We start from the raw sequence: 17,491 nt of genomic DNA, 5'->3' as shown, positions 1-17,491 counted from the left end.
TATTTGAAGTCTTCTCTGAATCAAGGCCCCCAAGCAGAATTTATCAGCCTTTCATTTGGACCACCAATCTAAGGAGTCCAAATTCCTCTACATTTTTTACAATCTGGTAAAATTATTTGTTCATATGAATCTGTCCTAAAAGACACTTCAGAAGCTGCCAATTATTGTTTAAAGTCCATTGTCCTCCTTTCATTTTATGAGGAGAAACTTCTCAATGAGTCTTTTGTGTTTCTGCACATCTTGCTAGCAGAGACAATTGTTCCAGATTACCTTTCCGAGAATTTTGCATACCAGAGAACCCTGGAAGACAGAAACAGCGTCCCTCTCTAGAGCAAGGGTAGATTTGTTTACTGACCAGTCAGAGGATCATGTTGCCCTTCAGTGCAAAGTTCAAGGAAGTTCACTTCCAGCCCATTGCAAAGATTGATATTTTCCAAGCTCAAGGTTGCTCATCTATGAAGCATATATACTATATGTGCAGTATCCACCTGAGTCACTCCATGTTCCCCTTGTAGGACTTAAGAACAAGGGTAATTGCGTGAACTTGAAAATCACTCTCCCTTCTATGCCTTAATTAATAAAGTCTTTTGTCTCTGACTCAGGAATCTTGTGTCTTCTGCCAGCATGTATGATAGTTTACATATCTGGCAAAATCTCAGACCCTTCACCATCTTCACAAGTCCCAACTAACAGCAAGAATCCACCTTCAGATATAAGTGAAGGAAACCTCTGATAATTCAAGCTCCTGACCTTTCATTCTCCCAGCAGATCCACAGAAACTGTGATGTGTCTGAATTTGTAATCCACAAAATGTGAAAGATAATAAATGATCATTTTTGTTTGAAGCAGTTTTTGAGGTAATTGGGTTAACAACAAAGACAACTAAGACCTGGAAATGAGGTGCTGTCCTGACAAAAAGAAATAGTGCAGCAGATGTAAGACAGTACAGTGGGCAAAAAGTGGAATGGTTTGTACCTCAGAATAGCTTAAAGAAATGTGACATAAAGTGACATTGAAAACTGGAAGGAAGAAGACTCTTTTCCTGTGGTACAATTCTGACTACTCAGGTTGTTCAGAAACTTTGGTGATGTATTCAGATAAATGTAAAAAGGGAAATAATGGAATGTTGTATAACCTCATGTACACTGTTTGCTTGGTATATCAAAATTATTTGGAAGATATTATCTAAGGGAAAAGAATACTAAACTTTTGTCCTTAATTAAAATGTTAAGAATTCTGTATTCTTATGTTTCTGTATCTTTGAGTCAAACCCAGTTTGGTAAGTCACTTAACCTTAGCTGAATCTTAATATACTCATCCACTAAATGGGATAATGTCATAGGATTACTGGAAAATTTATAGGGAATAGCAATCATATTAATCATATTAATAAGATACATAGTTGCTTCTATTTAATTGAATATGCATGATTAATCTCCTGCCCCTGCCCCAAAGCCACTAAATGGTAGTAAAGAAAAAAAATAATTTACTAAGCCACATAGAAAAAATGAAGAGGAGAAAGACAAGAACAAGTAAGAAACCTATATTCATTTACATTGATGGAAAGGTCTTAGAATAATAGCAACTGACTAAGTCTGACTTCAAAGGGAAATGCCAAAGAGAGGGTGCATGTCCTCCTGACTTATATCCTCCCAGACTCCTAACTTATAGTGCAAGATTCCAACTCTGTGAAGCCAGGTAATGATCTTTCATGCCACTACACTGTGACTAACCAGCCCAGCTAGAAGGGTATTCTCTTGAAAAAGAAAATCTGAGAGATCATGGATTGGAGGAAACTCGGCACAGCAAAGCACAATGCAAATTAAAACATGAATAAATGCATATGGAGGGTGGGAAAGTGAGTAATTAACTGATGTCTACATATTTAACTCTGCTGTTTCTTCTCATCTAGCTTCCAGAACATGAGTAGAGAGATGCATACCTCCCAGATTGAAAACTACATTGTTCCACTCTGAAAAGCTGACTGATAGACCTCAAAAAAAAAAAAAAAAAAAAAGTGTGAGAGAGAACAGAAACAAACGGAAAAATATTCCATGCTCATGGATAGGAAAAATCAATATTGCTAAAATGGCCATACTGCCCTAAGTAATTTATAGATTCAATGTTATTCACTTTAAACTACCATTGACATTCTTCACAGAATTAGAAAAAACTACTTTCAAATTCATACAGAACAAAAAAACAGCCTGGATAGCCAAGTCAATCATAAGAAACAACAACAACAACAACAAAAACACGCTGGAGGCATCATGCTACCCAACTTCAAACTATACAAGGCTACAGTAACCAAACAGCATGGTATTGGTACAAAAACAGACACATAGACCAATGGAACAGGTAGATAACTCAGAAATAAGACTTCACATCTAAACCATCTGATCTTCAGCAATGGGGAAAGAATTCCCTGTTTAATATATGGTGCTGGGAGAACTGGATAGCCATATGCATAAAATTGAAACCGGACCCCTTCCTTACACCTTATATAAAAGTTAACTCAAGATGGATTAAAGACATAAATGTAAAACCCAAGACTATGAAAACCCTAGAAGAAAACTTAGACAACAGTATTCAGAACATAGCACAGGCAAAAATTTCATCATGAAAATGTCAAAAGCAATTGTAACAAGAGCAAAAATTGACAAATGGAATCTAATTAAACTAAAGAGCTTCTGCACAGCAAAAGAAATGATCTTAAGAGTGAACAGACAACCTACAGAATGGGAGAAAATTTTTGCAATCTATCAAATCCATCTGAAAAAAGCCTAATGTCCAGAGTCAACAAGGAACTTAAACAAATTTACAAGTAAAAAACAAACAACCCCATCAAAAAGTGGGCAAAGCGCATGAACAGATACTTCTCAAAAGAAGACATTCATGCAGCCAACAAACATATAAAAAAACCTCAACATCACTGATCATTAGAGAAATGCAAATCAAAATCAAAATATCTCACAGCAGTCAGAATGACAATTATTAAAAACTGAAGAAACAACAGGTGCTGGCAAGGTTGTGAAGAAATAGGAATGCTTTTACACTGTTGGTGGGAATGTAAATTAGTTCAACCATTGTGGAAGACACTGTAGCAATTCCTCAAAGATTTAGAGGCAGAAATACCAATCTGACACAGCAATTCTGTTATTGGGTATATACCCAAATGAATAGAAATCATTCTATTATAATGACACATGTATACTGCAGCACTATTTACAATAGCAAAAATATGGAATCAACCCAAATGCCCAACAATGACAGACTGGATAAAGAAAATGTGGTACATATGCACTATGGAATACTATGCAGCCATTAAAAGGAATAAGACCGTGTCTGTTGCAGGGACATGGATGGAACTGGAAGCCATTATCTTCAGCAAACTAATGCAAAAACAGAAATCCAAACACTGTATGTTCTCACTTGTAAGTGGGAGCTGAACGATGAGAACACATGGACACATGGGGGGAACAACACACACTAGGGCCTGTTGGGGGTGTGGGAGGGAGGAAGGAGGGCATCAGGAAGAATAACCAGTAGATGCTGGGCTTAATGTCTAGGTGATGGGTTTATCTGTGCAACAAACCACCATGGCCCATGTTTACCTATGTAACACACTTGCATATCCTGCACATGTACCCCAAAACTGAAAAGTTGAAGAAAAAAAACAAAAAGTGTGGTTACTAATATTTGTAAGACCTCCTCCATACAGATTTTTTTTTTTTTTTTTTTGAGACACAGTCTCCCTCTATTGTCCAGGCTGGAGTGCAGTGGCACAATCTTGGTTCATGGCAACCTCCACTTCCTGGATTCAAGTGATTCTCCTGCCTCAGCCTCCTGAGTAGCTGGGACTACAGGCACGCACCCCCAAGCCCGGCTAGTTTTTTCATATTTTTAATAGAGATAGGGTTTCACCATATCAGCCAGGCTGGTCTTGAACTCTTGACCTCGTGATCTGCCTGCCTCAGCCTCCCAAAGTGCTGGGATTACAGGCATGAGCCACCGCGCCAGGCCCTCCATACAGATTTTAGTCCAATTCACTGATCACACTCAGCAGCTGGAAAGCCTATCACTTTCTCTCTTCATTCTCCAGCCGCCACACCAAGCACACAGAGCTTTTCAGTGCTTTACTCTTAATGGAGAACGTAACCAGGGATTATCAGGTATTCCAACATGAAAAAGAAAGTCCAATAGAAACAAGCAGGATAATCAAACCAGGAGGAAGCAGAGACTATATAGAGAAAGAAAAAAAGACACATGGGAATAACGGCAATAATACTGACAATACACCTCACCATAAACTTATCAGAATGAATTTGTTGGAGAAATATATGGAGGGGAGGTACTTGTGTGTGTGCACAGGCACTCATGTACACGTGTGTATGTGTATGTTTTTTTAAGTGAGCAAAGTAAGTACTATAACAAAAAATCAACAGATCATGTCCAAAATAAATATATATAAGTATATATATTTAGAAATGACAGTATATCTGTATTATTTTAATACACACAGCTAAATATTAAAATTAATATTTAATAGAATTTTTCCCTGTTAATACCAAGGGAGGTAGGGAATGAGGTAGGTGTCTGCTGACTCTGTTTATAAACCTATTGCCATTATTTTATTCTGAAGCTATGTGTATCTATTGCTTTGATTTTTAAAAGAACACATCTTTTTGTCAACACTCAATGCTGTTACTGGGATATAGTTCATTCTCAAATTTGAGCTTTTTATCACATCTTTTCTATTCCTGTCTGTTAAAATCAAAAGTCTACAACTTAGCTGGAAAGTGTTTTAAAGTTACTGGTTAAAAAGTTCTTAGAAATGCCTAATTCAAGTTGGTCTTTCCATGAGAACTTTTTTTATCCATAATGCTGAAGTATAAAGACCCCTCTCCTTCAGAAATGCCATAGTACATCCTGTCTGTTTTATTCATGTGGAAATGAATTCACATATTTCACCTTGTGACATTTCTTCTATCATCTTGAAGAATGAAAGTTCCCTACAAGAATGCATGTTATTTGAAGATATTTATTTCTTAGTAACAGTGTTGCACTTAATAGGCATTCAATAAATATCTGCTGATTAGAACTGATTGCAAGAAAGAGGCCAGACTTTCGATATTCTAGATCTCAAGAAGTGAAGAGTTCAAAATCAGCAATACCTCAATTGACATTAATTGGAATTTTGGAAGGATCAAAGCTAAAGAGAATTTTAAATAGAACAATTTTCTAGAAAACATTATTTAATTTTTAAAAAACAATAACATCAAAAGTATAATTGCTTTTTAATTTTTTACCTGTTTTATCTAAATGTACAGACTGTGGGAAGTTTTTATTACTCATTTGTCTCAATTCTGGTTTAGAAAATATATAAATTTAGTGTGTCTACAATAATATTGTCAAACAGTGACAAATAATATTTAAAAATTTAGTCATTGCTATCACTGATTCTTCCACAATGAATTAAAACATTGGCTTTCTATTGTTGGTCTGTCACTTTTACTGTGTAAATCAATTTTAAGTAGAAAGTACCAAATGTGCTGCAGTACTTTGGCACACACACTACAGCCAGACTGTCTTTTATTTTTATTTTTATTTATTTTTATTTATTTATTTGAGATGGAGTCTCACTCTGTGCCCAGGCTGGAGTGCAGTGGCGCGATCTCGGCTTCACAGTAGCCTCTGCCTCCCAGATTCCAGCGATTCTCCTGCTTCATCCTCCTGGGTAGCTGAGATTACAGGCACACACCACCACGTCTGGCTAATTTTTGTATTTTTAGTAGAGACAGCATTTCACCATGTTGGCTGGGGTGGTCTGGAACTCCTGATCTCAGATGACCTGCCCGCCTCAGCCTCCCAAAGTGCTAGGACTACAGGCGTGAGCCACCACGCCCCACCGAGCCACGCTGTCTTAATGTAAACCCTGGCAGCTACTATCTGAGTGATTTTGAGTAAGCTATTAACCTATGTCTCAGTTTCCTCATCTGTACAATGGAAATGAGGTAACTACTGTGATAATGCCATAGAGATTTAATGGTCTGAGACATGTAACGGCTAGGCATTGTATAAACACATGCAGCTCTTTTAAATTATTAACTGAGGTATATTTTTCTACTTAAGCATATTACAGTTGGATTTTGTTACATTTCCTGGTTCTGATAGAATTAGAAAATGACCCAAATTTATTCAATGCATGAGGGGACTCAATTATATTTATCAAGTTATGTTTTATTTGAGTTGTCCATGGATGAATTATAAGCTATGTAAGTGTTCAGTTGGTGAGAGTTTCTTCTGTTCTCTATAATAAAAACATCATAATGTTTAAGGCATTTTCTGTATACCTACTAACCATGGAATGGTCAAACCATACATCAAGAGGAGAAAAACTAGCAATGTGGTTATGTAGCCTCAAGCCATTTTGAAGCATAGTTCATCAGCACCTATAACAGAAAGCTGCTGCACATCTCAGGTCATTATGGTGCCTAACATGGTATAAGATGTCTTTACCTCCTTGTCAGCCTAGGTAAAGCCCCATGGTCCACAGTAGAACCACTAATTCTGAGCCACAACTTGTAAACTCGTAACAAGAAACAAGATGCATGCTATAGATTGTCATAAAACTAGACTATGTCCAATTCATTATATTAATTACAGATCTGGAAGTCACAAACTGAGTGTGAGCAGCCACCACCATGCCTGTTTTCTGAATTGCTGTCACTCTGTGCCCACATGGATGTGCTGACTCCTACTAAGCTTGATGGAAGAAGCTCTAAAATTTCCCTCTCCTCTCTCATACCCTACCACTACAGCCTTCAAAGGGCTTGACTTTTCATCACTTTTCCTATCTTCCCCCTTGCTTCTCTGCCAAGCTCAGTCAACGCCCTCTCTGATCTTACTCACCAGGTTCACCATGAATTTCAAGACATAATAAAATAACAAGTTTCTCTCTACTAAAAATATGAATATCGCAGTTATAAGGTAAGTAGTAGCTGGTTGATATATGCTACAGTTCAGGCAGCAAATGTTAATTTAACCGTGCACCTAGGATGCATGTGGCATCATGAAATGTTCTGGAAATATAAATATAAATAAAGAACAAAGTCTTCCCTCAAGAAGATTTGAGTCTTCGGAGAAAAAAAAATCTATATACATATATATGTATGGACAGATATCATGCAATGAAAATATTTACAACAAAATAATTTCCCTCATAATATGTATACGATCAATTTCTGGACATCATCAAAGAAATATTTTATAAATATTTCCCAATTTTTAATTCATTAATGAATGTCGTACTGTCTGAAAACAAATGTGTACCTCACCTCTGATAATAGACCATTATATTTTTATGAAGGAGAAAGTGTGGGTCATTCTACAAAATATTTTATGCTTATTAAATGATTTACAAGCAATTCAGCTTAACATTACGGTTATTAATTTCTTCTTATATATTCACATTTTATGTTTTTAAATTTTTTAGTGTTTTTTTTCTTTTGTTTTGTTTTTGCACTTTTTTCTTCTTTTTTTTAGATTCATATTTTAATAGCTGATTTCCAATTACTTTCATTTTAAAAAAAATCTTTGGCCTCTTTTGGTGTACCTTTCTCTTCAATTTCCTGATTTTATCAACTCTTATGCCACATCCTTCAGCTTTTCTTTAATTCATCTCCTCAGTTTTTAAATTTTCAATCTGAAATGTTCTTTCACATATGCAAATGCTTAATAATATTTCTTCTGAGTTGTGGGTTGTATTTGGGAATCATAATCATCAGATTAAAAAAGACTTACTTTTTGTTTTCTTCTTATAGTAATGGTGTTTGAATACAGCCTGATGTTCCTCTATTTATTTTAAATTATCTGAGGGTTTTCTTCAATAACAAGAAAATTGGTCTGTCTAGGAAAGAAGAATTTGAATTTTATTGTTGTTGTTGTCAATAGAACTTTGTTTTTTCGGTGTAATAAAATGTATTTAAAAAAATTATTTCCAGAAAGGGAGTGGTAAGTCATATGATTTTCAGATACTCATTCCTTTCTTTAATACCTCAAATTTCTACCAACTGCTTATTTTATTCCCTTCACCTCTCAGCCTCTAAGAGAATCTCCCGCTGAGGCAGTGCATACCCAAGACTGTCACTTCTGCTCTGCATACCTTTAAGATTCTTCCTTAGGATTCTCTAGTACACAGTGGTCTCATCCACCAGCTGCCAGAGCTGTTCTCAGTACTTCTCCCTCTTGGGAGTGATCTTATTTATGCCCAGCCACCAAGAGAATCCTGCTGCACTCCCTGGTTCACTTCTCTCTCTGCCTACACTGGTTCCAGCATGGGCTTTGGAACTGGCTGTGTAGGTTTCCTGTAACTTATTTCCCATTAAGAAGTATCTTAAAATGTGCAGTATTCTTGGTCTGCTAGTTATTCTGTAAGCTTGCTTGAAAAGAGTTTTATTTACTCTCCTTGTTGATTTTTCTGTAGGATATTTGGAGAGATCAAATTTTGACAGCCATCATTATCCTACAGGAACCTAGATGGTTCACCATCTAAGAACCAAATACATTTACTTACTAATTAGGTGCTAATTAAGTAAATTATACTACACCATATTATTTCTTTCAGCTTAATAAACTTTTATTGAAGTACACATCATCTCCCATAATTTTATTATATTCTACCTGTGTTTGAAGCATGAAACCATTTTCTTTTGGTTTCCAGCTTTTTCCTTTGCATTTTTATTAGGTGTCACTTCATTTTTTGACACAGTGAAATAATATCACTGCAGTCACCTCACGACGATATTGATTGGAAAAGTATAGTGAGTGATGGGAAAGCCACAGCCCTTACAATGTCTGTGTCTGGCACACACAGAGCAATCTTTAAGTTCCAGTGTGCCCTTTCTGCATCTCTTTTCCTTTCAGCACAAATCCTAGTGTCTTGCTTTACTAGAGACATAAGGTGGCAACCCAATCGCATGACTTGGCCAGGATCATTATACAATAAAAAAGGTGCCTATCATATGGGCAGATTCAAACTACTCAAGCAAGCACCACTGAATGGCAATAAAGGAACCCCACAGAACCCTTCCTGTGGGGAAGGGTCATTTAGCCAAGGCTGTGAATCTAAATTCTTGGTAACTGTTCAGCTGATGAAAAATACTTTATTCTTACACAATTCACTGCCTGTGCTTAACATAAATTTTGATTACTGTAATTTATGTATATTGTTGCTTTGTGATCCTGAGTTACTTTATATCACTGGGCAGATGCAAAAACTTGTTGATAAATATGGTGTTCTCATCTTTCCAAATATGCCTTTAGTCCATTTTATAAAATGTAATATATACGTTGCAAACTATCTTACTCAAGTTGATTATACTGGATGTCATATAATTAAACTATCTAATGTCCTAATAAAAATGAAACACAGCCACGAGAACAGCTTTAATGAACTGGAATCATGTTGGTAATATCTGTAATCCCAGCACTTTGGGAGGCCAAGGTGGGTGGATTATGAGGTCAGGAGATCAAGACCATCCTGGCCAACATGGTGAAACCCTGTCTCTACTAAAAATACAAAAATTAGCTGGGTGTGGTGGCACGTGCCTATAATCCCAGCTACTCGGGAGGCTGAGGCAGGAGAATCGCTTGAACCAGGGAGTTGGAGACTGCAGTGAGCCGAGATCGCACCACTGCACTCCAGCCTGGCAACAGCATGAGACTCTGTCTCAAAAAAAAAAAAAAAAAAGAAAAAGAAAAAGAAAAAGAAATGCATTGGATAATATTTAGCAACTCATATCAATGTAGTTTCACCCTCTTTGAATTAGTAACATAGTATGTACTAAAAATATTACTAACTATCCAATGCTGTGTTGAGGTTTTAGCATCTCTGCTAAGGTAAACTGTTAATATTCAAGATTCCAATTCTGGATTTCTTCTTCTATGATTTATATAACTTACACATCAAAATCTTGCAGGACATTCTGAGGTTATCTTCTGGCCATGCCAACATCAAATTGACTACAAATTACAGCAACAAGAAATGGTTTAATACAAATTCTTATCATATTTCAAGGAGCCATAATTGGCAATCTGAAATATAATTGGTACATGAAGTAAAAGGGGCATATTTCAAATCTTATTGTGGAAGAGGGGAAGCTGATAATGAATATCTATGTCTAAAGTGGTTCAGTTGCCCCAAATCAGTTTGTCTAACTGACTTCTTAGCCTGTATTTCAACTTCATCTGAATATTTGTGTATTTTGCTACAAATTCTTAAAATGAAAATAAAATTGCACTTGTCAATTAATTTTCACATTATAATTAAATAAAAAGAAACTCTGAAGAATGCAAACTTTGAATAACAATTGTCATAAAATATTCATAATAAACAAAATGGAAAATGCTACTTAGAACAAAGCAAAACATTTCTATTTCTAAAATTTTGCAATTAGGCCCGGCGCGGTGGCTCACGTCTGTAATCCCAGCACTTTGGGAGGCTGAGGCGGGCAGATCACAAGGTCAGAAGTTCCAGACCAGCCTGGCCAATTTAGTGAAACTCCGTCTCTACTAAAAATACAAAAATTAGCCGGGCATGGTCGCGCCCACCTGTAGTCCCAGCTGTTTGGGAGGCTGAGGCAGGAGAATCACTTGAACCTGGGAGGCAGAGGTTGTGGTGAGCTGAGATTGTGCCATTGCACTCCAGCCTGGGCTACAGAGCGAGACTCCATCTCAAAAAAAAAAAAATAAATAAATAAATAAAATTTTGCAATTTAGTAAATACTTTAATGAAGTAAAGTTGCATGTCCTCTCAGAAAATTGATTTTAAGATGTTCAAAATGTTTAAAAGGTGGGCAGATGGACAGAAAGGAAAGGACATTCCGATGAAGGAAAATAGCTCAAAAATGGTTGCACTTTCCAGAGAAGGAAACTCGAGCTTAAAATGCTTAAGTAACTTTCCCCAAGTCACCCAGCTGAATCAGTTATGAAACATGCTTTTTAAAATAAATTCCTATCTTAACATTAAAGATCAAGTACTTAATCCTTATATCACATTGTATCCTGGTCATCAGTTTAAGCTCAAGGATTCAGGTTGAAGAAGTCTTGCAAGATTATGTTATTTCTGTTGAAGATGTGAAAAAGAAGCATGTCATTTTATAACAGAGAATAAGAAAATACATATATAAAGGTATCCTTTACAGAGCTTTCTACAAAAGATACCATTTTTATTTGGGTCAAAAGACAAATGAACAAATGGGCCAATCTGCCAAAGCTAAGAAATGATGAGCAAAGAGGAGAAATTAGCAGTGACTAGACTCTTGAAAGTGTATAAACAATTTAACTCTGGATTTTTTTCCAAAAATGCCTAATACACTGAAAATTATTGGAGTTATCTGGCTTTTCCTTATGATATTTATGTTTATACTTCATTCCACAGAGAGATACAAAAAGATAAATAGGTAAAAGAGATGCCAACAAGTAAGAAAGGAAGGCAAGACAATCAAAGGTGCATCAGGATACTACAGACAAATGAGACTGAAAAGCTCACTGCACATCCTTAGAACAATAGTTGGCCATCTACAAGTTTCACAGTTTTCATCTGAAGTAAGGAAAGAAAGGAAATCACCATCCAAAAGGTAATAGAAAATGACTAAGATGAAACATGCTATTCTCAAGAATTTAAGTAGCAATGTTAGGATAAATTAAAGGGAAAAAGACAGAGGGAAACAAGACCAACTAGAAAGTTATTGCATTATCAATACCCATGAGACCCCAGAATATGATAATGTTGGTCCAAGTGAAGGAAAAAGAATGGAGGCAAGAATGAGTAGGACTTGGTGAGTACTGATGTTGGCTAAGACAAAGAAAAGGAAAGTTCACCCAAAACTCCAGGGTTTTGAGTTTGAACGGTTGGAAGAATGGAGGTGGCAGAGTGGTGACTAAGAAGCAGTACTAGTCCTTGCTTTCTGCTATCTCAAATTTAAAAGGCAAGGATTAATTCCAAGTCTACTCAGCACCAGACCTAAAGCAGACCAAAGCTGGAATGAGTGAGGTGCTTTGGGGTGGGAGTTAGTCTAGCTCCCTCACACTAGTGACACAATGTTATGGGTATACCTAGAACCCAGATCTGCCATAGTAATAAAATGTCTCCACCAAATGCATCAGATTTTTTTCCTACAAAATGGAAGTTTTTGTATTCTCTGAATATAAAAATGCATTACATATAAAATGTAAATATAGGATGAATGCGACTCTGTAATCCCAGAGCTTTGGGAGCCCAAGTCGGGAAGATGTCTCAAGGCTAGGAGTTTGACACCAACCTGGGCAATGCAGTGAGACCTCATCTCTACAAAAAAACAATAAAAATTATTTGGGTGTGGTGGTGCACATCTGCAGTCTTAGCTGTTTGGGAGGCTAAGGCAGGTGGATCGTTTGAGCCCAGGGGTTTGAGGTTACAGTGAACTATGATTTTGCACCACCACATTCTAGTCTGGATGGCAAAGCAAGACCCTGTCTTTAAAAAAAGAAAAAAAGAAAATACAAATTTTAAAATGCAAATGTAGGAAAGAAAGAAATTTTATCTTGAGTATGCGAAAGGTTTCTTCCATATTCAGGAATATTACTATACCACTTTTAATGGCTGTTTTATTATATTATTAAAATATGACATCATTATAATTCCACACAGTTATAATATGATCACTTTATAGGATATTAATATAATATAATCACACATTCATATTATATAGCTTTTTTAACTGACAGATAAAATTGTTATACAACACATATATGCCTACCGTCTCTCTTCAAAACAACATGAAGTTTTGTTTTTAAGTATATTTACATGTGGAATGACTAAATCTAGTTAGTCAGATTACAGTCATAGGCATTACCTCAGGTAGTTACCATTTTTGTGGTGAGAACACTTAATGCCCACTGTCTTTGCATTTTTTAAGAATATAATATATTGTTATAAACTATAATCACCATGTTATACAATAGGTCTCTTTAGCTTCTTCCTCCTATCTAACTGAAATTTTGTATCCTTTACTTTTAAAAAATAGTTTTGAATTGGATAGGCTAAAATGATATCTCATTATCATTTTATTTCTACTTTTTAGATTATTAGCAAGTCTGAATACATTTTAATATTTTATTGTGTATAGTAACCTTTCATCTCTCACTTGTGTTGAACACAACTTTCACAGTTATTTTTCTTCCACCATGTATATGTTATTTCATAGCAGAGAAGTTGGAAGTTTTTATATAGTCAAATTTGTCTTTTCCTTATGGATTTCTGTCTTTGGTATAATTTACTGAAAATCCCCCCACATTCTAAGTCAGCCAAATTTTGGGTTGGTAAGTCACCCAAATTTTGGGTTATTTTCAGTTTTCATAATTAAATATCCCATTCATCCGAAATTTATATTGGTGTAAAGGGCGGAGTACTGACCAGACCTTTTTTCCCCCAAATGATTAGCTGGCTTTATTAAAGCCTTTTTTTGGAATAATCTGCCTTTTCCATGATGATCCTAAATGTCACCTTTATTATTTATTAAATACCTATATATCAGATATCTTTGACAAATCCCACATTGTTATATTTGTTTCTCAGTTTCCTGATCTGTACTGAACTTTTCTGAACAGGAAGAGCAGTCTTACCCAGAATCCTAGATATTTAACTATCTTCTCATGGACAGGGCCTGGTATATGGTAACTATTCAATAGATGTGCACTTGAAAAGGATGTAATGACTACTTTGAAAGAGTTTGATGGACAATGATAACCCAACAACTACAGAGATATTTGCAGATGTAAACATGTAACTTAAAGTATGTAAGAAATAAACAGAACTCCATATATTTTCTTAGGTTCATCTAACCCAAGAAATATGTTTTAAAAACAGAAAAAGTAAAATCTTTAAAAAGGCCCTCCAGCCCTCACCGGGAGTCATGTTTACATTCTCCTTACTGGTTTTCTTCTTCCCAGTGTGGCCCCTTTCATGGCATTGCGCTTTACGTTCAGAGTGAACACAGAGAACAAACATGGCCATTTTTTCAGTACTATAAGGTCATCAACAGTATCTCAATAACTATGGAATATATTGTAACCTTTCTTATATGTGATTAATGTGAATAAAAGTCATACAATATTTGCTAATACATGTGCCTTTTTCTCTAGCTGTATTTCTCACTTCAGTCAATTTGAAAACTACACTTTTCCCCATGCCGTGTCATGGTTCTTAGTCTTTTCTCAAATCTGGACAACTATTCATTCTCTCATCCATCCAACATTTCTTTATCTTCTAGTCTCAGCTCAAGCATCACTTCTTAGAAAAAGCCTTTCCTTGGAATTTGTAAGTAGAAAGGATACGACTTCTTTGATGAGCTGACTATGTTCTTATGCCTTACTGCCACAGCAACTGTAAGATTCCATTGCAATTGTTTAGTTAAATGTCTTCTCTTCTGGAGAAAGTCTGGAAAGGCTGAAGCTGTTCTTTTGTTCTTGGCATCCCTAATATCCAAAAGAGTGTTAGTGTCTAGAGGCTCCGTACATATGTGGCAACTGAACAGAGGTGGTGTAGCATGGAAGTCAAGAGCATGGGCTTTGAAATCAGAGAGGCCTAGGCCTAAGTACCAACTGCGCTATTTAATGATTGCTTGACTTGAATCATTTCCTTATTCCCCATGAGACGCTGTTTCCTCATCTGTAAAATGTGGGTGATAATAACAAACTTGCAAGAATATTATTAGAATTAAGTGAGAAAATGTAGAGAAAGGACTTAGCACAATGCTTGGCATAAAAATGTGCTCAAAAATGAGAGCCATTAGTAGTAAATAGTAGTAACAAGTAGTGTCCATAGTAGTAACTATACTGGTATGAAAGTCGAAAAACTTAAAGCTCCATTTCTTCAGGATTTGTAAGAATTCTAAGGAGAATAACTAGAGAGTAAGTTATTATACAACTAATTCATATTTTAACTAATGTAAATAAATAGGTTTTTAAATACCAAAATTTGCTCCTGTTCACATTATTCACAGGATATTTATAACATTCATTAGTATACTAAATTTCCAGAAAGTTCTGTTTAATCATGTTATTTTGTTTATTTTTGTCATCCATATTAACTGAATAAATTTGTATCATCCTCAAAAATTCTCCTGCAATATTTATTAATATTTATTTTTAGGGTTGGTTGCAACTCTCCATGTATACATTGTTTTGAGAATTTCATAAAATATTTAACTTATGGAATGAAATACACATTTCCTTAATTATATTAGCTACCATAAAATAATTTTTGTGAAATATCACATATATATTTTTAGAAATCAGGAATTTGAAGCTATTTCTATACTTATATACAGTCTATTGGCACTAGTGGATTTTCAACAATTAACCCTATATATGAGGACTATATTAGATTAAGCTTTGTTTATTTGAGTATACATTACTTCATTTATTTGTTATTTATGTCCTACCTACTTCTCAAACTAATTAGGAGTGATATCCAAGTAAAATTATGTGTAAATATTATTTTAGCAATTTTCTATTTCACTTATATTACACTCAAGTTCTCAGGTTTTAATTCTACAAGCAATCTTCTTATCCTATATTTCAAAATCAGATTTATCATGGGGAGAAAATCACTGCAAGTCAGGAACTGTGAGTTCCAGTCTCAGCTCTGCCACTACAATTGTGCCCAACCTTGGGATGTCACATAATTTATATTTTCATATGTAAAATGAGAAATTGGGCAAGAAGTACCTCAAGGTTACTTCTAACTATAATTTATCTTTCCTCTGTAAGTTCCATCCTCTTTCTTAATCTCAAAATATCTAATTATTCTTCAATTATTTATATTTTAAACCAGAGTTATCTTAACATTTAGTGAGAGATGTGGGCAGCTACACAAATTATTATTATAGGCTGGAATGAAAAAAAGGACTGGAAGTTAATGTCGACTGTTTTGAAGTTACTGTCTCAGGACCCCAAACTGGAAATTAATATTTGGGATAAATAGTTCCAAGTTGTCTTCTAGTGTAAGAAACACAAGTAGCAATTGGTTATTGGTTATTTAATATGTATTACCCTCTGGGCATTAGCACTTGCTTATCCTTTATTTTGCATTCTACATGTTCAGATATTGCTTATTTCTCAAGACTCAGTTCAAATTCCACTGCCTCTGTGAAATCTTGCTTGTGTTTCTTATGAAGACTCAGAGAAATTTATGTATGCATCTGTTATGACTCAGAAGACTTCCTATTTTCCCTTTAAGAAAGAGACTATGTTTCTGATCATGGTGTCTATCAAAGAAACTAAAAGTATTACTTGCCTTATAAATTTCGGCCACCAAAATGGCTGATTGATTAATTGACTAAATGCATTTAGGTATGTATGCACGTATGAATGAATGGATGAATGAATAGCCAGAGATGAAATTCCATAAAAAGCTGGAGCCTGAGTATGGCAATGGTGCAGAAGTGCTTACATGCATCTTGAATGTGGGGATGTGATATAGTTTGGCTCTCTGTTCCCACCCAAATCTCACCTTGAATTGTAATAATACCCATGTGTCAAGGGTGGGACCAAGTGGAGATAATTGTATCATGGGGACAGTTTCCACCGTACTGTTCTCATGATAGTGAGTGAGCTTTCCGGAGATCTGATGGTTTTACAAGGGGCTTCCCCCTTCACTCAGCGCTCATTCTCTCTCCTGCCACCCTGTGAATAGGTGCCTTCTGCCATGACCGTAGGTGTCCTGAGGCCTCCCAAGCCATGCAGATCTGTGAGTTAATTAAACCTCTTTTCTTTATGAATTACCCAGACTCAGGTATTTCTTCATAGCATTATGAGACCAGACCAATACAGAGTGTGCATACAAAATGCAGCTTAGATGAACATTTCCATTTATATAGCAAATGATGCACTCTTCCCTACTATCCTAAGACATATAGAAGTGTTTTCCTCTATCTGCCAATTTTGGAGATTCTCTTCTAAATGCTGGTATTCTTACCATTTCCAACTGCATACAAAAGTTGCAGGATTTTTATCAGTTGATACCCTTTATGTCTTGGATTAGCTCTCTTTTCAAGAATCTAGTACTACCTCAGATACCTATGGTCAAGTGTACTTGAATTAAAAGTGCCATCAAAATTCTTCTATGGTAGTAATTTTGTATGTGCTCTCTCACACACTTGAAAGTCTATATACCCAGGATGGAGCTTAAATTATTTAACTTGGCTTATTCTTGCGACTGTATTTCATAGCCCTCCTCCACCCTCATCTCCCATACTATGCTATTTTCTCTGACTGGAACATTAACTACCACAATCACATTTTTTTTTTTTTTTTTTTTTTGCTAGACTATTCTTTATGTCTTCGTTTAACTAGCACTTTGGGACAAAGGAATTTCACTGAACATTTAAGAATAGGGGAGTATCTCTTCAATTCACTCCCTTACAGCTCTATATTGTTATTGAAGCAC

At 35.6% G+C, this 17,491-nt stretch overlaps 1 protein-coding gene across 53 annotated transcripts in view; it reads right to left on the bottom strand.

The window, feature by feature from the left end:
• The window catches only part of RALYL (RALY RNA binding protein like), a 739,058-nt gene that overhangs the window by 676,326 nt on the left and 45,241 nt on the right, over positions 1-17,491 (bottom strand). For 9 of the 53 annotated variants that reach the window (NM_001413311.1, NM_001413307.1, NM_001354320.2 and 6 more), the window contains one exon: positions 7,804-7,909. The exons of the other annotated variants lie outside the window; for them this stretch is intronic. The gene's annotated coding sequence lies outside the window, so the exon portion shown is untranslated. The remainder of the gene's footprint in view (positions 1-7,803; positions 7,910-17,491) is intronic. 53 annotated transcript variants of the gene reach the window in all.

The sequence above is a fragment of the Homo sapiens genome, chromosome 8 (genome assembly GCF_000001405.40).
Source record: "Homo sapiens chromosome 8, GRCh38.p14 Primary Assembly".
In the NCBI taxonomy this organism is placed as follows: Eukaryota; Metazoa; Chordata; class Mammalia; order Primates; family Hominidae; genus Homo; species Homo sapiens.
Note: the sequence above shows the minus strand (reverse complement) of the source record. Positions and strands in the feature narration are given on the sequence as shown.